At 53.3% G+C, this 27,165-nt stretch overlaps 2 protein-coding genes across 21 annotated transcripts in view, besides 6 other annotated features; both read left to right on the top strand.

Moving 5' to 3' along the window:
* Nucleotides 1-4,625, top strand: part of ZDHHC11 (zDHHC palmitoyltransferase 11) — a 64,959-nt gene extending 60,334 nt beyond the window's left edge. For all 13 annotated transcript variants that reach the window (XM_047417747.1, XM_047417746.1, XM_024446212.2 and 10 more), the window contains one exon: nucleotides 3,650-4,625. The gene's annotated coding sequence lies outside the window, so the exon portion shown is untranslated. The remainder of the gene's footprint in view (nucleotides 1-3,649) is intronic.
* Nucleotides 5,164-6,024: an enhancer, noted in NCBI's record as "OCT4-NANOG-H3K27ac hESC enhancer chr5:794321-795181 (GRCh37/hg19 assembly coordinates)". NCBI's record gives its function as "activates a minimal SCP1, AML or CMV promoter by ChIP-STARR-seq in naive H9 embryonic stem cells {active_cell/tissue: H9 hESC(naive)}" and the evidence as "EXISTENCE:reporter gene assay evidence [ECO:0000049][PMID:30033119]".
* Nucleotides 14,484-15,222: an enhancer, noted in NCBI's record as "H3K27ac-H3K4me1 hESC enhancer chr5:785123-785861 (GRCh37/hg19 assembly coordinates)". NCBI's record gives its function as "activates a minimal SCP1, AML or CMV promoter by ChIP-STARR-seq in naive and primed H9 embryonic stem cells {active_cell/tissue: H9 hESC(naive and primed)}" and the evidence as "EXISTENCE:reporter gene assay evidence [ECO:0000049][PMID:30033119]".
* Nucleotides 14,484-15,552: a biological region, named in NCBI's record as "H3K27ac-H3K4me1 hESC enhancer GRCh37_chr5:785123-785861".
* Nucleotides 15,123-15,552: a silencer, noted in NCBI's record as "silent region_15877". NCBI's record gives its function as "represses an Ori minimal core promoter by ATAC-STARR-seq in GM12878 lymphoblastoid cells {active_cell/tissue: GM12878}" and the evidence as "EXISTENCE:reporter gene assay evidence [ECO:0000049][PMID:35858748]".
* The window catches only part of ZDHHC11B (zDHHC palmitoyltransferase 11B (putative)), a 74,375-nt gene continuing 62,710 nt past the window's right edge, over nucleotides 15,501-27,165 (top strand). For 5 of the 8 annotated variants that reach the window (NR_147096.2, NR_147095.2, NM_001351303.2 and 2 more), the window contains exon 1: nucleotides 15,501-15,562. The gene's annotated coding sequence lies outside the window, so the exon portion shown is untranslated. Of the gene's footprint in view, nucleotides 16,289-22,676; nucleotides 26,054-27,165 lie in introns of those variants that run through there. The other 3 variants (XM_017010115.3, XM_017010113.3, XM_017010114.3) reach the window with 2 other exon arrangements.
* Nucleotides 16,807-17,466: an enhancer, noted in NCBI's record as "H3K4me1 hESC enhancer chr5:782879-783538 (GRCh37/hg19 assembly coordinates)". NCBI's record gives its function as "activates a minimal SCP1, AML or CMV promoter by ChIP-STARR-seq in primed H9 embryonic stem cells {active_cell/tissue: H9 hESC(primed)}" and the evidence as "EXISTENCE:reporter gene assay evidence [ECO:0000049][PMID:30033119]".
* Nucleotides 24,481-24,650: an enhancer, noted in NCBI's record as "experimental_86882 CRE fragment used in MPRA reporter constructs". NCBI's record gives its function as "activates a minimal promoter by MPRAs in K562 erythroleukemia cells, with activity observed for both the introgressed and non-introgressed 5:775780 variant alleles {active_cell/tissue: K562}" and the evidence as "EXISTENCE:reporter gene assay evidence [ECO:0000049][PMID:34662402]".

Raw genomic sequence — 27,165 nt, 5'->3', positions numbered from 1 at the left:
GGGCAAAACATCAAAAGCCCTGGTATCCTCAGAGTTCCTGTGCTCCAGGCAGCTTCCCACAGCCGTCTGGGTGCCATAGAGCCCTGAGGAAGGTCAAGGTCTCCCAGCAGCACAGCCCTGACCAGCACCCTAGAGGACAAGAGGGTAGGACTCATGGTTCTGTGTATATCCTGTGAAAATTTTGCAGAACTGGGAATAGACATCACCTTGAAAGCCCAGAGAGACAGCAAACCTGTGAAAATTGTTCTCTAGAAAAAAAAGTGTTTGAGATGCATAGCACAGGGTCTTCATGAGGCAGGAGTCAAAATCATAATTGGAGACAAGTTGAGATGAGAAGACAAATCCACTGAGATTGAAGGGGAGATGAAAGAGATGTGGAAAGATTGCAAGAAACTGACCATGAAGTTGCAAAATTAAAATCTTTCAAGGAAAGAAGAAGTAAATTGGTGCAGTAAAAAATTGTCTCAGTGGTATGGAGGACAAACTTAAGAAGCTACAACTTGAGCTCATGTAGAATGTCTATAGAACAGCGCCTGAGTCTACGTGCTCCTCCCACCATTTCCTTTGTGTGGAACAGTGAAATGGCTGAGGAGTAGCAGAGCCTGAGAAGTGGAGCTGGACGCTTGGCCGAAGCATCAACTTGCAAATAATCTGCAAAAACTGACAGCTTCTGTGGACATCCTTCCATGTGAGCATCAAATGGAGCTGTGGACTCCCTTCCGTGAGCAACAGTGACTAACAGTGATGGACACAAGGCGTGTCTTAGTCTGTCAGTGTTACTACAAAGAAACACTTGAGCCTGGGTAATTTATAAAGAAAAATCGTGTATTTGGCTTATGATTCTGATGGCTGAAAAGTTGAAGATTGAGCTCTGCATGTGGTGAGGGTCTCAGCCTTCTTCCACTAACAGCAGAAGGTGAAGGGAGCTGACATGTGCAGAGATCACATGGAGAGAGAGGAGGCGAAGGGCTGGGGGAGGCTCCAGGCCCTTTTCGACAACAAGGTCTCATGGGTTCGTTAGAGCAAGAAGTACTTGAGCATGAACTCACTCCCTTCAGAGGGAGGGCATTAATCTGTTCATAGGGGGTCCAGCCCCATGACACAAACACGTCCTATGAGGCCCCATCTCCAACAATGGAGATCAAATTTCAACATAAGGTTTGGAAGGGTCAGATGTCCAAACCACAGCAAAGAGCAAGCTCCCAGGGCAGAGCTTGATTAGTGACTGAAACAAGATGGCTCAGTGTGTTTTATAGAAGCCCAAACTCAGCCAACCACAGCTTGTCTGCTGAAGTTGCAGATAATTTCAGGTCACATTCTTTATCATTTGCATGCTCTTTATCATTTGCATTATTTTTGAATGAGTCTAAATCATTTCAAAAGCATCTGGTCTTCCTAGGGTGCTTTCGAAATGAATTAGCCTCATTCAAAAAAAAAAATATTCACCACTAAGGTTTTAAACAGCAAATGTTCGCTGTGATAACGTCTTAGAGTTGTGAATTACTGTAGACCACACAAAACACTTCTTCAGTATTACACCTTACCCCTCCAAAGTGCCTGTGGTGTAGGAGTCAGTCACTCCTATCTCTAGAAAAGGATGGTGGCTAGGAGAGTTGTCTGATTTTTACATAATCCCAGAAAGTACTTAAGGTAGATTTTAAAGATCGTGGAATACAGACCGATGGCATAAAGGGAAAAGGGAGGGGAAAGAAAGAAGGAGTGAAATGAAGCCAGAGGTTCTAGTCATGTGGCAAGTCACTTACAAGGATCGGACAATGCTCCGAAACTGAGCAAGTTAAGGGTGTGTGTGTGCACGCGTGCGCGTGTCCGTGTCCATGTGAGTGCGAGTGTAAATATTCTTAAAGGCATTAATGAACTGAGGAGACATAAGGAATTCTCAGGCCATGGTTGAAGGCACAGAGGAACCCAAAGAGAAATCTAGTGGGGAGTGCAGCTGGCCTTTGCCCTGAGGGCATTTGTGAAACCTGGTCAACTTCATTTTCACCTTTTCAAGAGATACAAATGGAAGATCAAGCTGAGAGCACAGCCAAAATGGCAAGCCAATCAGTAATCTCTTAAAGTAAGGGCCCCCAGAGGGCGGTACCCTCATTGCAGTGGCAAACTAGAGGCAACTCACTTCTCTACCCGCAAAGGAATCAGGGGGGATCAGTCATTTCAAGCCCTAGAGCTGAAAGAAAAAGAGAAAAATCACTGCCGAGTATTTGGAGCAACAGGTTCTCCCTAAATTTGTGTGAGGTGGGTGACCAAAAGTCCCCAAGCTGAGAATTTAATAGAGAGTGATTCTGAACTGGTCATTCCCAGGAGCCAAGCATAATTCCTTCTGAGTAACAAACCTTCATCCTAAGCCTCAAAGATTTCTCAAAAATAAAACTACAAAGCAAAGAAGCAATTCTCAATGAAAAACAACCCACCACATGTGAAAATAAAGCACTGAGTGAGAAGCAGCAGAAAACGTAGTAGAAACAGACACATAAATATTTCAGATGTTGAATTTGGCAGACCAAAACATGAAGAAAACACAAAGTCAGAAATATCTGAAGAGAACAGAAAACTATTTTTTAAATTACAAAGCAGATATGGAAAAACACCAAATAAAACTTATGAGAAATATCACTGATTTTTTTTAAAGTGGATGGATTTAACAACAAATTAGACAGTTGAAAAGTGAATTAGGGAACTAGAATCTAGAGCTGAAGAAATTACTGAAATAGATACAAAGTGACAGAAACGCAAAATGTGAAAAAAATGAATGAGAATACAGTTTGAAGGCTATGTTATGTTTAGAGTCCTAGAAAGAGAAAAGAGAGAAAATTGGGAAGATGTCATATTTAAGGAGATTTGGCTGAGAATTTGCCAACATTGTTAGAAGACACCAACTCACAGATTCATAAAGCCCAGTGAATCCAAGAAGGGGAAATAAAATTCTAGACACAACATAATTCAATTGATAAATGCCGTAAACAAAGAATATATATATATATACACACACACACATATGTATTTAGACAGAGTCTCGCTGTGTCACCCAGGCTGGAGTGCAGTGGCCCAATCTTGGCTCACTGCAAACTCCGCCTCCCGGGTTCACAACATTCTCCTGCCTCAGCTTCCTGAGTAGCTGGGCCTACAGTTGCCCACCACCACACCCAGCTAATTTTTTGTATTTTTAGTAGAGACGGGGGTTCACTGTATTAGCCAGGAAGGTCTCGATCTCCTGACCTCATGATCCACCCGCCTCGGACTCCCAAAGTGCTGGGATTACAGGTGTGAGCCACCACACCTGGCCAAAGAAAATATTTTTTAAAATATCTAGTGATAAAAGATGGGTTATCTTTCAAAAGGATGTATTTCCGAAGAAGAACAATAGAAAATGGCCTCTGTCGGTGATGCACTCATCTCTAAGCTTTCTGGAAGGATGGGGAGGGCAGGAGCCTGGCTCGGGAGGACTCTCACTAGACCCAGCTGGGAGTGGGGCTCTGTGTCTAAGCCAAGGTGATGATCCACCCAGAAACCAGCCCTGCCTCTCCAGGCAACAGGTTGGGGTAAAAGCCACCGGTGGGTTTCCATCACAAGTAGAGCTGAGCTTCCTCCCTGGTGGCTGCTCAAAGAGTGACTTTGTTTTGTCCTGCAGGAGCTCAGGTGCCCCTGTGATCCAGGTCTTCTACCCTGAAACCCCACCCTCCATCAAGGTCCTGCCTGTAGAGTCTACCTTGCAAAGCCTCCTGCTCCTACCCATGCTACAGGCCAGGAACCAGAGCCCATCATCTCAGAGGCCCCTGGATGTCCTTCGAAGGAACCAGGACCCTCAGAGCCCAGCATCCATCTCTGTCATCATCTTCATCACACCCAAAGAAGAGCCAGCCTTGCAGGAGGGTTTACATCTCCAGGAAGATGGGCTGCCAGCAACTGCAGAGGATGCAGCCACCTGCTTAACTGTGCTGTCCAGCCAGCCAGCCAGCTGCAGGGCCTCTTGCTGCTTAAGAGCTGATGGGCCGGGCATGTTGGCTCACACCTGTGAGCACAGTACTGGGAAATGGGAGCACAGTACTAGGAAATGGGAGCACAGTACTGGGAAATGGGAGCACAGTACTGGGAAATGGGGGCTCACAGCACTGCAAAATGGGAGCACAGTATTGGGAAATGGGAGCACAGTACTGGGAAGTGGGAGCACAGTACTGAGAAGTGGGAGCACAGTACTGAGAAATGGGAGTACACTACTGAGAAATGGGAGCACAGTACTGGGAAATGGGCATACAGTACTGAGAAATGGGAGCACACAGTACTGGGAAATGGGAGCACAGTACTGGGAAATGGGAGCCCACAGTACTGGGAAAGGGGAGTTCACAGTACTCGGAAATGGGAGCATAGTACTGGGAAATGGGAGCACAGTACTGGGAAATGGGAGCATAGTACTGGGAAACCCCAGACCTGGATTCTGAGTTTTTCAGCCTAGCCCAGACTTCTTATCTTAGTAGACAAAAAGAGTCAATACCAGAGAACCAGAGGCATCCTCTGTATTTTAATGAACTCTGCATTTTAATCTGTTTAGTAGTCATTTTTTAAAAGATAATCAGTTTTCCAAATATATCTATAAGTTACTACGTGCATTGGGCTGTTTTTGTGTTTCTGTAAAGAAATACCTGAGGCTGGGTAATTTATTTAAAAACAGGTTAAACTGGCTCACAGTTGTGCAGGCTGTACAGGAAGCATGGTGCTGGCATCTGCTTGGCTTCTGGTGAGTCCTCAGGAAGCTTCCGTCATGGCTGAAGGTGGGGTGAGAGCCAACACATCATGTAGTAAGAGCAGGAGCAAGAGAGAGTGGTGGGGTTGAGGGAGCACCATGCATTTTTAAATGACCAGATCTCAAGTGAACTACCAGAGCAAGGACTCACTCATCACCAAGGGGATGGCACTAAACTATTTATGAGGAACCTGCTCCCATGATTCAAACACCTCCCACCAGGCCCCACCTCCAACACTGGGGATTACATCTCAACATGGGATTTGGAGGGGACAAACCTCCAAGCTTTATCATTCCATCCCTGGTCCCTCAAATCTCATGTCCAGCTCGCCTTGCAACATATAATCATCCCTTCTCAATAGTCCCTGAAAGTCTAAACTCATTCCAGGATCAACTCAATCAAAAATGCCAAGTCCAAAGTCTCATCTGGAGATGAATTCCTTTCACCTATGAGCCTGTGAGATCAAAAACAAGTGATTTACTTCCCAGATACAATGGATACAATGATGGTACAGGCACTGGGTAAACATACCTATTCCAAAAGGAAGAAATTGGCCAAAAGAAAGAGGCTACAGGCTCCAAGCAAGTCTGAAACTCAGCAGGGCAGACATTAAACCTTAAAGTTCCAAAATAATCTCCTCTGACTCCATGAGGCACACTGGTGTGAGGTGTGGGCTCCCAGGGCCTTGTACAACTCCACCCCTGTGGCTTTGCAGGTTGTGGCTCCTGCAGCCAATCTCATGGGTTAGAGTTGAGTACTTGTGGCTTTTCCAGGCTGAGGTTGCAAGCTGCCAGTAGATCAAACATTCTGGGGTCTGGAGGGCAGAAGCCCTCTGCTGACAGCTCCACTAGGCAGTGCCCTGGTGGGGAGTCTGTGTGGGGCTCCAACCCTACCTCTCCTCTCAGCATTGCCCTCATAGGGTATCTCTGTGAGGGCTCTGCTGCTGCAGCAGGCTTCTGCCTGGGCACCCAGGTTTTCCAACACATCCTCTGTAATCTAGGGGGAAGCTGCCAATGCCCCTTCACTCTTGTGTTCTGTGTTCCTGCAGATTTCACACCACTTGGAAGCCAGCAAGGCTTACCCTCTAGAGCAGCAGTCCACACTGTACCTGGAGACTGTTGAACCACCACTGTAGCTGAAGAAGTTGGGATACAGGGACCAGTGTCCCGAGGCTGCACAGGGCATCAGGGTCCTAGTCCTGGCCCATTAAGCCATTCTTTTCTCCTAGGCCTCTGGGCCTGTGATGGGAGGGGCTGCTGCGAAGATCTTTGAAATGTCTTCAAGGTCTTTTTCCCATTGTCTTGGATATTAGCACTTGGCTCCCTTTTAGCCATGCAAATCTCTCTAGTAAGTGGTTGTTCTGCAGCCTGTTTGGATTCCTCTCCTGAAAACATTTTTTTCTTTCTCTACCACATGGCTAAGCTGCAAATTTTCCAAACTTTTACAGCCTGCTTCCTTTTGGTATAAATTCCAACTTTAAGTCATTCATTTGCTCCCCTATCTGATCATAGGTTGTTAGAAGCAGCCATGTCACCTCTTGAATGTTTAGCTGCTTAGAAATATCTTCTGCCAGATGCGCTAGGTTACCATTCTTAAGTTCAAACTTCCACAGATCACTAGGACACAAATACAATGTAGCCAAGCTCTTTGCTAAGGCACACAAGGGTGACCTTTGCTCCAGTTCCCAATAACTTCCTCGTTTCCATCTGAGATCTTGTCAGCCTGGCCTTCATTATCCATATTTCTATCTGCATTTTGGTTCCAACCACTTAATAAGTCACTAAGTTCCAAACTTTCTCTCATCTTTCTGTCTTCTTCTGAGCCCTCTAAAGTCTTCCAACCTCTGCTCATTACCCACTTCCAAAGCTACTACCACATTTTCAGGTATCTTTATAGCAGTGTCCTGCTCCTCAGTGCCAATTTTCTGAATGAACCCATTTTTGCATTGCTATAAAGAAACACCTGAACCTGGGTAATTTCTGACAAAAGACCTGAATCCACAGGTATATGAGGAGTAATTCATGACAAGCTGCACGAATAAAAATAAGAAATCCAGGCCTAAATACATTGTAGGGTAAGGTGGAACACAAAAGAAAATCTAACTTTAAAAACCAGAAAGAAACAACAAATCATCCACAGAAGAAAAGCAGTTCGACAGCAGATGTATTAATCATAAGAACAGTAGATAGATAAATAATACAAAGTGTGACAAAAAAAAAAAACAACTTTTGATCTGGAATTATGTACCCAGCAACACTATCTTTAGGAAAAAGAGCAAATTAATCACATTTCCAGATAAATCAAAGCCAAGTTTACCACCAACAATCCTACACTAATGGGACTTCAAAAAAGATGTATTTATTGAGGGAAAATGCATAAAGCAAACACAGAGCCCACAGGGAATAATTTTTTAAAATTCACCGTGACTTGTGGAAGTTTTCAATGCAACTCTCAATTACTGTCAGGTCAATCATATTTTTAAAATAATAAAAACATAGATTTGGACAACACCATTAACAGGCTTGAATTATGGGATATCTGTGGAACTGCAAGCTCATTTATTAATAGAAAATGTGCATTCTCCTTAGGCACACAAGGAATATTGCCCAAAACACTGCTTACTAGCCTCAACAAGTCTCAAATAACTTCTATGGGATGGACCAGTGTTCCCCTTTACATACTTTGTCTGACATTTTTTCCTGTCTGCTTTTAAAATTTCTATTTATCACTGGGATTGAGCGATTTGATTATAATGAGACATGATGTAATTTTCTTCAATGGTACTTGTGCTTGAGGTACATTGAACTTCTTGCATCTGTAGGTTACTAGTTTACATCGAATTTGGAAAAAAATGTTGTCATTATTTTTCCAAACATCTTTTTTAATGCACTACCCTCATTCCTCATGTTTTCTTCTGTCCTTTGGGGACTTCAATTAAACATATATTAAGCCACTTGAAGTTGTCCCACAGATCACAGATAATTTGGCTTAAATTTTTTTAAATCCTCTTTGCTTTTGGTTTCATTTTGGATAGTTTATATTGCCATGGTTTCACAATGAATAATCTTTTCTTCTTTAACATCTAATCTGCCATTAATCCCATGCAGTGCAGTTCTCATTTTATACGTTCTAGCTTTCACCTCTAGAACAGTGATCCAGAGTGTTGTTATATCTTCTGTGCCTCAAATTAGCTTTTACAATACGTGGAATGTAGTTTTGATATTGTTTAATGCCCTTGTGTCCGTTCTGGATCAGTTTTAATAGACTCATTTGCCTCCTTATGGCTCCTATTTTCCCACTTGTTTGTGTGCCTAATATTTCTGATTGGTTGTCAAAAATTGTTGTCTTCTCTGGTGTTGGATATTTCTGTAGTCCTATAAATATTCCTGAGGATTTCACAGAACTGACAAAAGACATGAATCCACAGGTATATGAAGAGTTGATTTATGACGAGCTGCATAAATAAAAAGAAGAAATCCACACCTGGGTAAACCTTATTCAGGGAGGCAGATAAGATAAAATCTTATTCTGAGATGCAGTTATTTAAGAACAGAGTTTTAAAATGTTTATAGATGTAAGGGGTAGAAGTGCAGATTTCTTCCACGCATATATTGCATAGTGGTGACATCTGGGCTTTTAGTGTACCCATCGCCTGAATAGTGAACATTGTACTGAAGAAGTAATTTTTCAACTCTCACCCCCTTCCACCCTCCCATCTTTTGGAGTTTCCAGTGTCATCTTATTCCACTCCATATGTCCATGTGTACACATTGTTTAGCTCCCACTTATACTTGAGAACATGTGGTATTTGACTTTTTGTTTCTGAGTTATTTCACTCAGGATAATGGCCTCTATCTATGTTGCTCAAAAGATATGATTTCATTCTTTGTTACGGATGGGTAGTATTACCTTGTGTATATATGCTACATTTTCTTTAACCAGCCCTCCACTGATAGACGCTTAGGTTGATCCATTTTCTTTTCTGTTGTGAATAGTATTGTGATAAACATACAAGTGCAGGTGGTTTTTGATATAATTAATTCTTTCCCTTTGGGTATATACCGAGTAGTGGGGTTGCTGAACCAAATAGTTGTTCTATTTTTAGTTCTTTGAGAAATCTCCATATTGTTTTCCAGAAAGACTACACTGATTTACATTCCCACCAACAGTACTTCAGCATTCCCCTTTCTCCACATCTTCACTAAAATCTCTTACTTTTAGACTTTAATAATAGCCATTCTGACTTGTCTAAGATGGTATTGCATTCAGATTTTAATTTGCCTTTCTCTGATAATTGGTGATGTTGAGCATTTTTTTCATGTTTTTTGACCACTTTTGTGTCTTCTTTGTAAAAATGGCTGTTCATATCCTTTGCCCACTTTTTAATGGGCTTATTTGGTTTGAGTTCCTTGTAGATTGTGGATATTAGCCCTTTGTCAGATGCATAGTTTGCAAATATTTTCCCATTCTGCAGGTTGTCTATTTACCCTGTTGATAGTTTCTTTTGCTGTGCAGAAGGTTTCTAGTTTAAGTTCCATTTGTCTATTTTTGTTTTTGTTGCAGTTGCTCTTGAGGACTTGTTCATAAATTCTTTGCCTAGGCCAATGTCCAGAAGAATTTTTCCTAAGTTTTCTTCTAGGATTTTTATAGTTTTTGCTCTTATGTTTAGGTCTTCAATCCCTCTTGAGTTAACTTTTGTATATGGTGAGAGGTATTTGTCCAGTTTCATTCTGCTGCATATGCCAATACAGTTTTCCCAGCACCATTTATTGAAAAGGGTGTCATTTCCTCAGTGTATATTTTTATTGACTTTGTGTCTTTATTTCTCAGTCCTCTATTCTGTTCCATTAATCTAGATGTCTATTTTTGTACTACTACCATGCTGTTTTGGTTACCATACCCTTGTAGTATAGTTTGAAGTCAGGTAATGTGATGCCTGCAACTTTGTTCTTTTAGCTTTGGATTGCTTTGGCTAGTTGGGCTCTTTTTGGGTTCGATGTGAATTTTAGGATTTTTTTCCTAATTTGATAGAGAGTGTGTTGGGTCTGTAGATTGCTTTGTACAGTATGATAATTTTTAACAGTAGTGATTCTTCCAATCCATGAGCATGGGGTGCTTTTCTATTTGTCATGTATGATTTCTTTCATCAGTGTTTTGTAGTTCTCCTTATAAATATCTTTCACTTCCTTGGTTAAATACATATCTAGGTAATTTTTTGTAGCTATAATAAATGAGATTGCCTTCCTGATTTGGTTCTTGGCCAGATTGTTATTGGTATATAAGAATGCTATTGATTTTTGTACATTAATTTTGTGTCCTTAAATGCTACAGAATTTATCAAATCTAAGAGTTTTTTGGTGGAGTCTTAATATGGTTTGGCTGTGTCCCCATCCAAATCTCATCTTGAATTGTAACTCCCATAATTCCCATGTGTTGTGGGAGGGACTGGGTAGGAGACAATTGAATCATGGGGGCAGTTTTCACCATCCTTTTCTCATGGGAGTGAATAAGTCTCACGAGACCTGACGGTTTTATAAGGGGAAACCCCTTTCACTTGGCTTTCACCCTCTCTCTCGCCTGCTGATGTGTATGATCTGCCTTTTGCCGTCCACCATGACTGTGAGGCCTCCCCAGCCATGTGGAACTGTGAGTCCATGAAACCTCTTTTTGTTTATAAATTACCCAGTCTCAGGTATGTCTTTACCAGCAGTGATACAAGTCTTCAGGGTTTTCTATATAGAATATCATTTCATCAGCAGAAAGGGATAGTTTGGGCTCCTTCTTCTCCAGTGTGCATTCCCTTTATTTCTTTCTCTTGACTGATTGCTCTGGCCAGGACTTTCAGTACTGTGTTGCATAAGAGTGGTGAAAGTAGGCATCTATGTCTTATACCAGTTCTTAGAGGGAATACTTTCAACTTTTCCCCCTTAATTCTGATGTTGGCTGTGGATCTGTCATATGAGGCTTTTATTATGTTGATGCATGTTCCTTCTATGCCTCATTTGTTGAGAATTTTTATCATGAAGAGAGGCTGAATTTAATCAAATGCTTTTTCTGCATCTATTTAATGATCATATGGTTTTTATCCTTAATTCTGTTCATGTGATACGTCACATTTATTGATTTGCGTCCCTGGGATAAATCCCACCTGATCAGGGTGTATTATCCTTTTGATGTGCTGTTGGGTTCTATTTTCTGGTATTTCGTTGAGGATTTTTGCATCTATATTCACAGGGATATTGATCTGGAGTTTTCTTTTTTTGTTGCGCCTTTGTCTGGTTTTGGTCCGAGGGTGATACTGGCCTCATAGAATGAGTTAGAGAGATATCCCCCCTCTTCGATTTCTTGGAATAGTTTCAGAAGGATTGGTATTAGTTCTTCATATGTTTGGTAGAATCTGGCTGTGAATCCATCTAGTCCTGGGCTGAGTGCAGGACATCCACACAAGTGAAGCCACTTCCGGCAGTGGGGAAAACAGTTGCAGGGACAGAAGCTGACCAGGCTCCTTGTGGTCTGCTTGGAGCCATCTCGGCTTTACAGAGCTCATTGCCCACTGCGTCTGAAAGCCACACCCAGGGCCTCAGCCCCTGCCCTTGCCAGAGGGGTGTGTCCTCTCCACTGCAGACACCAGTGACTCCCTTCTCTGCGGCCCTCTGCTCTGCGACGCCATCCTCTCTGGTCCTCCGTGTCTCTGCCAGGCATGGGCTCCTGTCCACATCTTTTCTGCCCAGCACGCTGTCCTGTTGCCGTGTCCCCGCATCTTTCTTCCCTAATATCGGCTGTGGAACTGAGGTAGCGATGGCTGGCGTATTAAGAATGTGCTCCAAGCAGCTCTGCCTAGGGCTGAACAGCCCCATTTGGCTTCCCGTCCTCATCAGCACCTGACCAGTGGCAACAGTGAGGCCGCAAGGCTCACCTGCCGTTCTCTGGGTCACAGGCATGTGATGGGGGGCCAGAGTCGCTCCCTGGCAGCAAGACCCGGAACCTGCACTTTAATTCCATGTTCCACAGCAATTCCACCCCCAGAATAACCAGATGCAATCACAGCCCAAACACACACAGGCACGTGCACACACACAGGTGCAAACACACACACATGCACACAAAGACACACAGGCCCATGCACACACAGGCACATGCAGGCACACAGACACATGCACACACATGCAAACACACAGACACAGGCACGTGGACATACAGGTGCAAACACACATGCACACACAGACAGGCACACGCAGACACACTCATACAAACACAGAGACACACAAATAGACACACACACAGCTGAACATACACAGCTGAACACATACCAACATACATACACCGGCATGCATACTCACACATACAGGTGCACATTCACACATAGGAATGCACAAACACACGCATGCATGTGCACACTCTCACACTCTCACAGGTGCACACACATATCCCGGCAGACATTTTCCCTAAGCTGCCAAGGACCCGTGGGAGCTGCTTCAACACCCCCATGAGGCTTCCCAGGCCCCACACCCAGGCAGGCACGTCGTTACTTCACTGACCACCCCCTCTGACCTCATGCACCTAGGCTGTAGCTTGTCCCCAGCCCAGGGCCCACACAGGAGCTGGTTAGGGTTCTCAAGGGGCCCTGACTGCTCACCTGCTGTGGGACACACCCCCACGGGGCCCAGAGAAGCTGCTCAGCCTATAGGCCGTCAAAGGACATGCAGCTGCCAGGGGTGGGTGGACACCTGACAGGTCCAGCTGCAGGACACCTCAGTGCTGGGACCCGGCATCCTCACACTTGGCCTCGGAGGCCTTTTCATGTCTGCTGCTGTCCCCGTGAGTCCATTGCTCCCCCCGCTCCCCGTGCCTCCGTCTTCAGCATGGGGCCTCCCAATGGACCTGGGCTCCTGTCCTGGTCTCCCACTGCAGACCCAGATGGCCCAGCATCTCCCACCATCCCTTCCACCCAGGGCTTCCAGTGCTACCCACCATGCTGTGTCTGCTCTTCCCAACCTCCACTGTCAGCCTGAACCTCTGCCCACAAAACCCAACCCCAAACCCAGGCAGGGGTGGGCGCGGGTGCCGGGCAGCAGGGGCTTGTCCCGGAGAGCTGTCCTCCTCCTATGTGACAGCTGCCTGGCCTGGTGCTCCCAACTGCGGACGCAGAACCTGTGCAGGAAGCCGTGGAAACAGCTACAAGCAGGCAGGTGTCCCGGGGAACGCTCCTGGTCACTGACACGGTAACACAGGTGGAGCTGGGAAAAGCATTGGTGCTGGGGTGGTAGTGACCCCCACCCAAGAAAGTCACATTGACCCGGAACCTCAGAGTAAGACCTTACGTTAAAATAGGATCTTTGTAGATGTAATTCGATTAAAGATCTTGAGATTATCCCAGCTTCTCCTGGCGGCCCTTAAATCCAGTGACAGGTGTCCCGATAAGCAAAGGAAGAGACAGACACACTAACTTGGGGGAGGAGGCCCCGTGAGGACAGGGGCAGAGGTGGAGCCATGCGGCCACCACCCAGGACCGCCTGGAGCCACAGAAGCTGGAAGAGGTGGGAACCTCCGGAGCGCACAGGCCTTGATCTCGGACTTCTGGCCTCCTAAGCCGTAAGAGGAAAGCCTTGTTGTTCAACCCATTTGTAGTGATTTTCTAAGGATCCCCAGGAAACATCTTATAACGGGACACTTGGCGTGGATCACATCATTGGCTGTGAGTCGGTTTTCAGTAATTGCAGGGTTAATGGAGGCTGTCCAGGTCTGGCAGTGGAGCAAGAGCTGGGGGCCAGGAAGGGCCACCGGACGGGCAGCCATGGCCAGGTGAAGAGCCTGGAGTCCCGAATCAGGATCCACCTCTCCCTGCTGAGCAAGATCCTGTGCCCCTGTTTCTGGTGATTTTGTAAGTGCTGACTGAACCGACTGTCGCTGGGAAATAACACACCCGTGACCCCAAGCCAAAGTTTCACCCACAGACAAGGAAACAGACTCCATGAACACGCCGACTCCCGACGGTAGAACCGGGGTGCCCACCCCAGCCCCGGTCACTGTGTGTCCTGCGCAGGGGCCAGGGCAGCCCAAGGCTCAGCTCTGTCCTCCTGCCCAGACCTCGCTCAGCCCCCTGGACGCCGCCCCGCGCCCGCTGCCTCTCCTCTCCTCTCCTCCCAAAGGCTCCAGGACCATGTCTGCCTCTGAAGCCTGACGTTACCTCCCACTGCGATTTTATTGTAAACTCACTGCATTTATGTCAAGAGAGTTTGTACAGGTTTTGGAAAATGCACTGAAGAGTCCCCTTGTGCCTATTAGGACGGTAAGAACACACCAAGGAGAGATTATTTCATTATTTCTTTGATGCTGTTAGTAGGATCTACCCGAGGGGGAGGCACTCCGGGCTCCGCGGGACGAGAAGGCAGCCGAGCCCGCACCCGAGCAGGAGGGAAGCAGGAGCCGCAGCGTGGCCGCCGCACAGCTTCGGGGGTCCCCCGACTTCCCAGCTGCGAGTGTGGAATTTCTCAGGAGAACTAGACAGAAGCCCATCTCTGGGCAGCACTGAGTGGAAGGAGAAACCACAGGAGAGGAGAGGAAGTGTGGGGCGCGGGACCACCGTGGGGTGGGTGGGGGCCAAGCCGCCGGGCTGTGAGGCCTCAGCACCCCCTGCCCAGCACCCAGCACCCCAACTTCCCCTTCTGCCTTTGCGGATTCCAGGGCCTGCTGGACACCTGGGGCAGGGACAGAGCCGGGACTGGGGGAGGAGCTCAGCTGCACTAGAGTCCGGCTGGAAGAGTCCCGCTGAAAGTCACCAGAGGCACCCCTTCCTCCTGGGGGGCTGCGCCTCGGCCTCCTCCAGGGCAGGTGCCCCTGTGCCCCTGAAGTCCCAGCACCCAGCACCACAGAACCGCCCTGTCGTCTCGGCCCCGGAACCTTGTGGGGAGCCAACTCCTGCGGAGGGCCCGGCAGCCCCGGGCGGAATGAGCCCCCTCCGCAAAGCCTGTCTGGGGAGCGGGGGAGGGGCGGCAGGTGCCCGGAGAAAGGCGAGATTGGAAGAGCGGCCGGGATGGTGGCGCTGCACACGGGCGACCTGCAGGGAGAACGGAAGCTGAGGCCGGGGTCAGGGGTGCGCGCTCCGCTCCTCCACTCCTGCGTGAAGGGCGGCCCACTCCCGAGCAGCTGCGCTGGGCGCCCGGCACGGACCCGTCTCCCTGCTCAGGTCGATCCCCGGCCGCGCTGTCCCCACCTGGAAGCCCAGTCCCCTGGGTGCGCCCCGCCTTGGGGTCCGAGCACCCTCACAGCCCGGCCCTGCCGCTTCCCTGCACCGTCTGCGGCTCCTTAAAGAACTGGGCGCGGTCGGGGCTCGCCCCGCACTGTCCTCGAGGCCCCGCCGCCAACCCACCCCACCCCAGGAGGCCGCGGCCGCGCTCATCCATCCCCCGCCGCACCGTCAACGCGCGTCCTGCGGGGCGCAGAGATCGGGGTCCGGTCGTCCCCGGGGGGCCCCAGAGACAGGTGAGGGGCCTCGCTGCCACTGCCCAGCGGTTCCCACGGCCCGCAGGTCCGCCGCGCCCTGCGCTGAGCGGATACCTGGCGGCCGGCGGAGCCTCAGCGGAGCCGGTCTTGTAAGGCTGAGGTCTCAGTGCGCCCGCGCATGCTCCGGGCCTGGTGGGGCGGCGGGGGCGGGGCTGCCAATGAACACGAGGGGCGGGCGCGGGACGCTGGGGGCGGGGCTGGGGGCGGGGCGGGGCGGCAGGGGGAGCGCTGCGCTGAGCACTTGGTCGCGCGCGGCCGGGTCGCGGGGGAGCCTCCGCTGCAGTTGCTGCGTCTCCAAGGTAAGCGGGCGCGGGGCTCGGTCCTGCGGGCGCGGCGCGGGGGGCACCCGGGGGCGGAGACTGGGCCCGTCAGCCCCAGCAGCCACCTGCGCCGCAGCCCCTGCCCCCCGCGCTCCCCCGAGCCACATTCCCGGGCCGCCCTGCGCGTCCCTGAGCCCCCGGATTGGGATGCCCGGAGTTCGGCGCTGCGGGCTCGGTGCGAGGACGCGACGGGGAGGCTTTGCAAAGGCCGCGAGCGGGGGTCACCGTCGGCCGCGCCAGGGACAGGTCTGTCACTTTCTCCGGGCCCTGTGCCTGGCGCTTTGGCCTTTCTTCGCGGCCACGGACGCCCCTGCAGCCCTTCCCTCCAGACCCTGCCCAGCCCGGGGCTGGAACCGTTTCCCTATTCCCAGGCGTAGGGGGCCGCCGGTGTGAGGCGTGGGAAATTAGGGCGTGGAGGGCTGGAATGAAGCCACTGCCCGCAGCACGTTTTGAGATCCCTGGCCACAGAAACGGCCCAGAATGAGCGGGTCTCGGGGTCCTGACACCACCGCGTCCTGGCAGGTGGGGCTGTCAGACCGCCCCCCGCAGAGCCTCCAGCTGCCCCGGGCCTTGGCTACTGTCCGCGGGCCTGTGGCGATGGAGAGGCGCTGCCGGGACACCTTCCCGCACCCCTGGGAGCAGCGCCCGAGGATCTGAGGAGCCCTTTATTCTGCGGTTTCGGTTACGTAAACGGAGCCGAGGGAGGTGAGAAGCCTGTCCCTCCCGGGCAGTGGCGGGGCTGCTGTTTTGATAAGCGTTTAGGGGGGCTGCTGTCTTGATGGGGCTTGGGGGGCTGCTGTTTTGATGGGGTTTGGGAGGCTGCTGTTTTGATGGGGTTTAGGGGGCTGCTGTTTTGATGGGGTTTGGGGGCTGCTGTTTTGATGGGTATTTGGGGGCTGCTGTTTTGATGGGGGTTGGGGGCTGCTGTTTTGATGGGGGTTTGGGCGCTGCTGTTTTGATAGGGGTTTGGGGGCTGCTGTTTTGATGGGGGTTGGGGGCTATTGTTTTGATGGGGGTTGGGGGGCTGCTGTTTTGATGGGGTGTTGCGTTCCCTCTCAGTGTCACCGCTGATCCACCTGGCATGTTTATTGGCTCTTCTGCGTGCAGGGCCCCTGGGGGACCGATAGAGGACTGGGCCCCTCCGCCCACCCCGGCCACCCCTCCCCGCCTGACTTCTCAGGGGGAGAGGTCTCCCCCCACGCCCAGCCAGCCCCTGCCCCTGGGAGGTGACCCAGCTCCCTGTGGCCTGGGACTAGGAGATGGGGCTGGACCAAGGCCGGGAAGGGGCAGGAAGTGGAGGGGAGTGAGGCAGCTGCAGCCTGATGCCGGCGCCTTGAACTGGGCTCTCGCGCCTGTCAGCCGCTCGGTGCCAGCGCCTCCCCACCACGTGATCCTCGGAGGGCCTGTGGGGGAGGGGCGGGCTCCCGGAGCGGCTGCAGAAGGCGAGCTCCAGGAGGGTGTGTGCGTTTTCCCGGGAGGGGTCTGCAGCTTTCATGGTTTCTAAAGGGATCTCTGATTCAGAAAGGCGCCGGCATGAACTCGCTTTGCATCTTCACAAAACATGAAGTCATGGGGATTGGACCGCGTGTGCGTGGAGGAAGCTCCGCTGGTCACTGGCTGCGTTTTAATCTTACAGCTGCGGTTGGTCTATCTTCCCGAATTCCCTGAAGTTGCAATAAATGTTTTAGCGATTATACGAGGTTATAAATGCTCGTTGTGGAAATGAGCATAGAATGCTCACAGAAATGGTCAACAGGGGCTTCCTTTTGACCCCCTACCCTAATTTGCAAGCCTCACACTGGCAGTGGCTGCCCTAGGCCTGGGAATCGGTAAACAGGGTTCGTGCACCGGGCTGGGCAGGGCCCGGAGGGAGGGGCCGCAGGGGGCTTCCGTGGGCACAAAGGCCAAAGCGCCACACGCAGGGCTCAGGAGAACTTCCTGAAGAAAATTAGGATCACCCATCGCAGATGGAGACTGGGGAGCTCTCTGGAGAGTCAGGCAGTCTGTTCCCTCCCAGGCCTGTGGGAGCCACCCCCTGCAGAGGACGCAGAGAATTAAAAGCTTCCTCGGGAGAGGCCGTGCCAGCAGAGAGCCGAGTCTATTTATAGCTGTTGGTGAGACAGGGGGAGTGTGTGAGAGGGATGCCATCTGGGGCTCTTGGGGCCCCCAGGCCAGTGCTGGTCAGCGCCCTGCAGTACCTGGCCCAGCCTGGTGCCCTCAGGCAGAAGCGCCTTCGGGAAAACACTCTGGGTGAGGAGAGTCGCTCAATGCCTCCGCCTGGGCTGGGGGAGCCAGAAGGCTATGCCCAGGAGGGTTGTGGCCGGGTGTCTAGTCCATCTGAGCCCACAAACCCTCAGCCAGGAGCCAGGATCAGGCAGCAGAATCTACACACGCCTAGTTCCTACTGCTCGAGCAAAAGGTGTTTCCTGGGAAGGAAGGGGTGGAGCTGCCTGGGTCAGGCCCAGCCACATCTGGGGCTCAGGCCTTGTCCCCAGCATCCACGAGCCAAACCCCAAGCTGCCCTGCGTGGATCCTCCTCCTAGGGAGACCAGCTTCTTCTTGGTGTGTGTGTGTTTGGGGTTGCCACAGGGCCATAACCCACTGCATCCCCCTGATAAGATCTTCCACCCAGGGCAGCCCCCACCCAGGGCAGCCCCCACCCAGTTGATCCCCCACCCAGATGATCCTCCACCCAGATGATCCCCCACCCAGATGATCCCCCACCCAGATGATCTGCCACCTGGATGATCCCCCACCGGGGACATCCCCCACCCAGGGCAGCCCCCACTCAGATGATCCCCCACCCGGGGCAGCCCCCACCCAGATGATCTCTCACACAGGGCTTCCCTCCTAGGGCATCTGCAACAGGCTTTCCCCCTAAGGTGACATCCCCCTCCCAGGACATCCACATCCCAGAGCCACCCCCTCCCAGAGCCACCCCCTAGGCCATTCCTTCACCAAGGCTCCACCACCCAGGACAACCCCCACAAAGATTCCCCACCCAGAGCATCCTCCCCACATGGCATCTCCACCCAGGGTATTCCCCCACCCAGGGCATGTTCCCCACATGGCATCCCACGTTTGACTTCTTGGCATGATAAAAGGTGCCTGCCCATGTGGGCTCCATGAGATCCCCCAGGGCGCATGGCATCACAGACCACATTTCCCAGATCCTATAACCTGTAACCCCAACCTGCTCGTTTGTTCACAAATGTCCAACGTGGCCTCCGCCCAGGGAGTGCCACCAACAGCCGCACCTGCCAGGCGACTTCACACAGCTGCTGTCCCCCTCTGGCCATCAGTCATCAGTCAATGGGGCCAGGAGCAGTGAGCACCGTGTATGGGGTATGGAGGTGGCTTCAAACCCAGGCCCTGGTCCAAGGGCCCTCATGTCTGACACAGGCGAGCTCCCAGCACCCTCTGCCTTGTCAGGAGTATGTGACATGCCTTCCTGGCCCACAGAGGTGGGTGAAGTGTGCGTACCTCAGCGTGCCCATGGCTGCCACTCACTGTTCACCCACTCACACTGGATCCCCGCCCAGAAACACACCAGGCCAGTCCCACCCCACTCAGAAGTGCTGCTGGTGCCTCAGGGCCAGGGAGCCATGTCCAGGCCCCAGCCAGCCCCGGGGACCTGACCCAGCCCCTCCCCCTGAGCCCAGGGCACCGCTGCACAGCCACCTGCATCTCCCACCCATGGCATCTCGCAGGTAACCTGGCCACCGTGGCTGCTTCTGGGGCGTCCACCCTCTCCTGCGCACACCGGCCCCCGCTTCTCCTAAGGCTGCCCAAGGGCCGGTTTCCTCTGCCCCTCGGCGGGGTGGCACCTCTGCCTTCTCAGTGCCTGAGGAGCCTGGGCCATGGACAGAGCCACTGGGGTGAAGCTCATCTCAGCCTCACCTCCCACCAGGCTTGTTCCTGCCACCTTCGCCAGTGCCCACGTGTCCCCAGGCCGCCTGCTGGGAGGGCCCCACCTGGCACCTGGCACAGCCCACCTGCAGTTCTAGTGCCAGCCGTTCTGGGCCGCCTCTCTTCATGTTCCGGGAGTGGGATGGGGTCTTACCGTCCGTTTTCCCGTCGAAGCTGCAATTCCTGAGCACTGTGCTTTGGCTTTGCCTGTTTTTAACCTTTAACCAGAAGCCACGTGGTGGGCACACTGCTGTGCTGGCTAACGTGGATCAATAGTGTGCGCGAGTGGTCCGTCCACACTGCGTCGAGGAGCCCCAGGTGCTCGTGCTCAGCGCCGCCCACACTCCCACGGGGATGCCCGCTGTCCCTGAGACCACCATACTGTCAGCAGGTGCATGTCCACGCGGTTCCCCTTTCTTGGCAACTAGGGATGAAGCTGTCGTGGGCATTCCTGGGATGTTCTTTGGGGCATGTGGTCATGAGTCTCTTGGGTCAATCTGGAAGTGGAGCCGTTGAGTCTGGGATCTAGTGTGTCTTTTCATTCATCAGATGATGCCAAGCAGTTTCCCAAAGGGATTAAAGCCATTCGCCCCCACAGTTTCCTGTTGACCCACATCCTTGCCGGCACTAGCCACTGTCAGCCTTTGCAATGTCTTAGCCTTTTGTAAGGCTGTGTGGAAGCCTTATGATTTGCATTTTCCTGGTCATACTAACGAAGCTGAGTGCTTCCCACCGAGCACTGGGCACTTGGATACCCTCGTCCCCGAGGGGCCTGTTCAAGTCAGCTGCCCTTTGTGGATTGAGTTCCTATCGATTTGTAGAGGTTCTTTATATATTCTGGAGACAAGCCAACATTTGTTGTGCATAGCAAACATCTCCTACCCTGGGGTTTGCTTTTTCACTCTCTTGATGATATTTTTTCAACGAACAGAAGTTCTTTCTTTTAATCTGGTGCCTTCTAAGAATCTTTTCCTGCAGGGCAAGGCTTTCTGTGTCCGTGTAACAAATTTCCCCCACGCCAAGAACATCAGAAATTCTTTTGCATTACCTTCCCAAAGCTTCTAGATCTGATCTGGAGGACAGCCCTTTAGCATGCAGACGCAGCTGAACCTTCCCTTAAATCAGCAAATTCCCGTCAGCTGACTTCCTCACACCAGCCACGTATGCAGCCTTCATTTTCTCCACCTAAAAATGGGCAACCAGAGGCTGGATGTGTCTCAGAAGGCAGGTGCTGTTGGCAGCCCTGGCCTAACACCCATCCTGGCTTAGGTGGACCCCCAAGGGCCTCTGGAGCCCCCTGTGGTCTCTCAGTGCCACCTGAGGGCCTCAAAGACTTTGTTCCCCATGAGGGGTGCTGAGCCTCTGGTCCCACCCGCTGTGTCACTGTGTCCAGAGGCTTCTGACAATTGACACAGTCCGGGGTTAACACAACAGGGACGCATTCCCCCATCATCCTGGAGACCAGAAGCCCAGCGTCCAGGCATCTCATGAGTCAGCTTCCTCTGGAGGCTTGGTGGGACGCTCCCTGCCTCTTCTAGCTTCTGGTGGCTCCAGTTGTCCTGGGCGTGTGGCTGCATCACTGCAGCCCCAGCCTCAGGGCGACTGTGTTAGTCTGTGTGTGTTGCTGTAACAGCACCAGGCATGGTAATTTATGAAATGATATGTTCACTTCTCACAGTTCTGGAGGCTGGAGAGTCCAAGATCAAGGCACCTGCAGGCTTGGCGTCCGACAAGGGCCCTTCCCTGCTTCCAAGACAGGGCCTGGTTGCCATGTCCTCATGCCCCAGCCCTTTGATAAGGCACTCGGTCATTCCCAGGAGCCTGGCCCCCATAGCTGAATCTCATCCCCCAAAGGCTCTGTTAATGCCACCACAATGGGGATTAGGTTCCAGCGTGGATTTTGGAGGGGACGAATTCAGCCTGTAGCACCTTCTTCTCTTCTCTCTGTGTCTTCTCTTCTGCCTCTTCTAGGTAGAGACACTCACCATTGGATTTAGGGCTCAGCTGTGGATAATCCAAGATGATCTCATTTCCAGATCCTTTCTCCAAACAAGGTCGCGTTCACAGGTTCTGGGGATTAGATGGGGCCACCATTGGCCCAGAGCTGGCCTGGTCCCAGCTGCCTGCAGGTGCCCTGGACCCTGAGCCCCAAGGGTAACCCAAGGGCAGTGAGTGGGCTGGGGCGGGGCAGGGCAGGGTCCTCGTGAGTCTGGCACTCAGTGAAGCTGCGCTGGATGAGGGACCAGCCCCTGGTTCTGCAGTGTTCTGTAACCTGCTCTGCCCCCTTGAGAGCCTCGGCTGTTTTCTCCTGTAACCCATTGTGCCTCCCTTGAGAGCCGCGGCTGTGTCCTCTAACCTGGTGTGCCCCGCGTGAGAGTCCTTGCTGTCCCCACAGAAGGTGCCTTTAATGGAGGCAGGTCCCACCGCATCTGCAGCCGCCGAGTCTCCGACATGGTTGATGGGATGAGCCAGCCGGGATCTCTATTCCCTTTTGGGATGCTCTGTTGGTGGAATGTCCTGTGTCGTGCTTTAGAGAAATGGTGTTGGCCCGGGTGGTGGGCACTGGCTGGGCATGTGGTTTAATTCTCACTTGGGCCTTGGACAGCCATCTCAGACCCGTATCAGTCTCCGCCGCAGCGTCCTTTGCAGAGTCTGGGAGCCCCCTTGCCCCTCTGTCCTACGGTGGCTGCGGAGGTGCGCCGGGTCCCCCAGCACTGCCAGCCCGCCTGCGCCATGCTCAAATTCTCGCGGGGCCTCAGCCGCCTCCCTGCTGGGCAGGGCTCGGGACCCGCCGACCGCCATGCCGAGGCCACGCCCCCCCTCCCCCGCCCCGGGCTCCCTCGGTGCTGGGGCCTCCCGGAAGGGCGCCGCCCCCGCCGGGTCCCATGGACCGCCCAAGGGCTGAGGAGTGCGGGCGCGTGGCGCAGTACTGGCGGGCAGCTCCGCCTGCTGCGGGGCTCAGGATCCGATAGAGAAAGCTAGCTAGACTCCTGAGTGGAGTGGGGGCTTGGAGAACTTTTATGTCTAGCTAAAGGCTTGTCAATGCACCAATCAGCACTCTGTCAAAATGGACCAATCAACGCTCTGTAAAACGGACCAATTAGCTCCCTGTACAATGGGCCAATCAGCAGGATGTGGGTGGGGTCAGATAACGGAATAAAAGCGGGTAGCCGGAACGCCCTGCCGCAACCTGACTCCATTCTCTTCTCCGCTGTGGAAAGTTTGTTCTTTTGCTCTTAGCAATAAATCTTGCCGCTCAGTCTGGGTGCGCGCCGCTTTTGTGAGCTGTAGCACTCACCAGGGAGGTCTGCAGCGAAGGTCTGCAGCTTTGCTCTTGAGGCCAGCCAGACCACGAGCCCACCGGAGGGAGCGAACAGCTCCAGACGCGCTGTCTCTGAGAGGCGTAAGTAACACTCACCACTGAGGTCTGAATTGAAGCCGGCGAGACTAGGAACCCACGGGAAGGAATGAATGACTCCAGAGGCGTCACCTTGAAGAGCTGTAACACTCACTGCGAGAGTCCGCGGCTTCACTCCTAAAGTCAGCGAGACCACGAACCCACCAGAAGGAAGAAACTCCAGACGCATCTGAACATCTGAAGGAAGAAACTCCAGGGTCGCCATCTTTAAGAACTGTGACACTCACTGCGGGGCTCCGCAGCTTCATTCCTGACGTCAGCGAGACCAATAACCCACCAATTCCAGACACACTGCGTCCTGTGCTGCAGGGGGAAAGGCACGGACTCAAAACTGCCAGCTTTGTTCTGATTGGGAGCTCTGCCTGCCTGACAGGCGGCCTGGGCTGAGAAGAGTGGGGCGGTTCACAGGGAGAGTCCCGCGGAGCAGGAGGGCCGTGCGATGATAGTGAAAAACAAGAACCATCTGCCAAAGGGCTGTGCTGCACCCAAATGGGCTCTGAAATAAGGAATGGGACCTGAGCCGCCTTGTTCCTTGGCCCTGTTTAATGGGGAAGCACCTCCTCGGCAGGAGGGCAGGGCTCCCAGGTCCTAGAAGGCCCCTTGGTGGGACAGGAGGGCTGGGTGAGCTCCACAGGGGCTCTGTCCACTCCTTCCGCTGTGAGGGTGGCTTTTGCTTCTGGGGCTTCGGGTCGCTGTGGTCTTTGATGTTGCTGTCCCATTCACCAGCGAGGGTCTCGAGCTGAGAGCTGTCCAGGCTGAATGCCCAGTGGGCAGTTTGAGGCCAGGAGCACACTGCGTGGGCCCAGCAGGCGCCTTGCAGTGGAGACTTTCCCCTCAGCCCTGCTGGCCAGGGGCCTACCCGGTCTCCCTTGGGGCTGTGCCATTCCTGTGCTTCGGATTTACTGGGGGGTTGCTTCTCCCTGGTCCTGATCCCCTCCACTCCCTCAGTCAGCGACCTGGGTCCAGGTCATGATGGAGCACTGGGCGTTGCAGAGGGGCCATCCCAGGGCTTCGGTGCCAAGGTGGGACCTGTGGCCGTGGGACATTGGAGGGTCCATCAGGCCCTCAGGAGCTTTGCCACCTGCAGGCACGAGAGGGTCCCGTTCCAGCAGTGGGGTCTGGCCCTAGGGTTTCCTAAACAGGAGTGGGGTTTAATGACAACAGTCTCCAGGGACTCTGGGCAGGATTGAGGGCTGTGATGGCAGCCAGCCTGGGGTGGAGGGTGCTCCCCCTGGACAGGACTTGGGCGTAAAGGTTCTGAAGAGCCCAGCGGCAGTACACCCAGCTGAGCCTGCGGAGGCCAGGGTATCTGCATGGGAATCTGCCCATGGAGAGAGGACCAGGGACCCCCAGGGGTTCCTGGCATGCACTCCCACCTGCAGGGCCTGGGACAGCTCCTGTCACCAGCTGAGAGATGCCTGAATACTGCTGAGCGCCTCGGCCCCCACCCCTCCAACCTGTTTCCCAGTCAGCTTGCAACACAGCGTGTCCTTCACAGCTCCCTGGATGCCAGTGCCCCGAGGGCATGGAAGGAAGGGGTTGGAGAGAGGCATCTGAGCCAGCATGGCCCCTGCCAGGGGCATCCTGCAGTCACAGCACGTTGGACTCCTGGGCGGCGTCTCCAGGGTTAGAGGGAGCAGCTCCCACCCAGGCCCCAGGCCTCCAAATCACCAGGGAACCCATTGTCATCCCTGAACAGGGAGTTCTCCAGGGCACGAGCATCGGCTCCTGCCAGGCAGAAGCACGCGGGGCTCCTGGGAACCTGAGTTAACAGAAGGTTTGGGTTGAGTGTGTGGCGTGCGTGCCTGATGTTCCCAGCCTGGTCCCTTCCCAAGGAATGCTTGCCTTCGGGTTCTGGTGGAATCCAGTTGGCTGCCATCACAGAGTCTTTCTCCGCAGAGACAGGTTCTCCCTCAGGCTGTGCCTGCATGAGGCCATCGGGTGCGAGGGAGATGGGGAGCGGCTGCACCCCTTCAAGGATGAGGAGACTGAGGCGCAAGCAACTGTCCCACCATGGGCACCTGCCTGGGAGCGAGCTCTGGGGGTCAGCGGGTGCAGCTGGAGAAGCTGCTGGTGGCTTCTCCAGAGCAGGTGGAGCTGTCAGAGGTCACGCCCTGGCCTGGTCCAGCCCAGCACAACCCAGGGGGCCTGCAGGACACTTGTGACCAGGACAGAGGTTCTCAGGGAGGCCAGAGCCTGAGCAGGGCCGAGGGCTGGCTCTGAGGTCTCAGGTCCCAGGGAGGGGTGATGAGCTGAGGGGTAGTAGCTCCCACTGACTCCATGGCTCCTGCCTCCAGCTTTGACCCGGCACTGCTGATGATGTGAGCATGGCCTGTCCACCAGCCTCCTCTGCCAGCAAGGCTCAGCCACCCCACAGCCATCCACGTGAAGAGCAGTGGTGTAGGCTCTGTCGGCGCCACCCCCGCGTGGGCGTGGGCAGTGAACAAGGGAGCACCGAGGCTGCTGCTATCTTTAAAACAGCAGCTGGCCCTAGTGAGAGAGACCCCAGGCCCTAGTTACAGGCTCCAGGCCCAAGGGGCAGACCCCTGGCGCTAGTGACAGACCCCAGGTCCTAGTAATAGGCTCCAGGCCCAAGGGGCAGACCCCTGGCCCTAGTGACAGACCCCAGGTCCTAGTTACAGGCTCCAGGCCCAAGGGGCAGACCCCTAGCCCTAGTGACAGACCCCAGGTCCTAGTAACAGGCTCCAGGCCCAAGGGGCAGACCCCTGGCCCTAGTGACAGACCCCAGGCCGTAGTTACAGGCTCCAGGCTCAAGGGGCAGACCCCTGGCTGTAGTGACAGACCCCAGGTCCTAGTAACAGGCTCCAGGCCCAAGGGACAGGTCCCGGCCCTAGTGACTGACAGGCCCCTGGTCCTAGTGAGAACCCCCTGGCCCAAGTGCGAGACCCCTGTTCCTAGTGACAGAGCCCGGTCAGTCCTAGTGCCTGGCCCCGCTTACTGATGCCACATGGACACCCGGGTTTCCAGCCCCTGGACAGCTCTGTGATCAGAGGCTGGGGCTGCTGTTTCCCCAGCCCTGTCAATTCTGTTCTGGCAGGTTTTCTGTAAGTTTGGCTTTGGGCAGTCCAGTGTCCAGTCTGAAGGCATTTCCCAGGAGATTCATTCTGACAAATGGGGCCCAGGTGATTTTCCGTGGGGCCTCTTGGGAACAGGAACAGCCTGTGGGGTTGGGGCCAAGGTGGCCTGCGGTGTCTGGGACGAAGCCCCGCCTAGGTGGCCGAGTCCTTGGAGCTGGTGACACACCTGGGACAGGCATTCCCTGGCCAGCGAGGATGCTTCGGACAGCCACCCTCTGGGGTCTGCCTTTGCCTGCCCCACTCTGAGGTCTGTGGTGCCACCTCTGCCCTCATCTTCTGTCCTCTTCAAGCCTGTTTTGAAGATGCCAGTTGGACAACACAGTCTTGCCCACACCTGTGGGTGAGCCCGTAGGCACCATCCTCCTGACTCCCTGGGGAGGTGCTGCAGGTGTGTGGGAGTGGGGTGGGCTCAGTCTCCAAGCAGGTCCTGGCCCTGGGGGTTGGGGCGCAAGTGGGGTGGGCTCAGCCTCCAAGCAGTTCCTGGCCAGGCCCCACTTGGGCTCCCGTGGGGTTTGGCCAGGGAAGGGGCATGTGCTGTGAGCAGGCACCTGGGTCGGGGCAGGGCTGGGCACGTCCCTCCTACCAGGGAGGTGCTGGCCAGTGGGAGAGGGTGCAGGTGCACACCTGGATGCAAGCCACAGGCCTGGGAGTACAGGGCACAGCTGAGATGGTGGGCACAGGCCTGGGAGTGCAGGGCACATGTGGGATGGTGGGCACAGGTCTGGGAGTGAAGAGCGACCCCCTGGAGGTTCAGGGCACACACGTGGAGATGGTGGGTACACGCCTGGGAGCTTGTCCTTGGACCCCATGTGAGCAGTTTGTCTTCCTGGAGTCTCTTCTGCTACACAACCTTCTTTTCCCTCACGGTGAAAGAGCAGAGCCTCTGGGGGAAATGGTGTGAGGGTCTGCACCCAGGGCTCAGGTGCACTGCACCCAGAAACTGGGAAAGTGGAGGACACCTGGCCTCTGCCCATCCAAGGAGAAGCAGCTGGCACAGCAGCATGCCATGCTCGGTGGAGAGCGCCAAGGTAGAGGCGCCCGCCCAGGCTCGTTGTCCGTCTGACACCTCCTCATTCTCTTAAAACTAAATGTATTCTTATTACCGTCATTGTGGAAACAGCACGTGGGTCTAATGAAGCGATCCAGACAGTGCATCT

Source organism: Homo sapiens, chromosome 5 (assembly GCF_000001405.40).
Source record: "Homo sapiens chromosome 5, GRCh38.p14 Primary Assembly".
Taxonomy (NCBI): domain Eukaryota; kingdom Metazoa; phylum Chordata; class Mammalia; order Primates; family Hominidae; genus Homo; species Homo sapiens.
The sequence above is the reverse complement of the archived record's forward strand: the minus strand, read 5'-3'. Positions and strand labels throughout refer to the sequence as shown.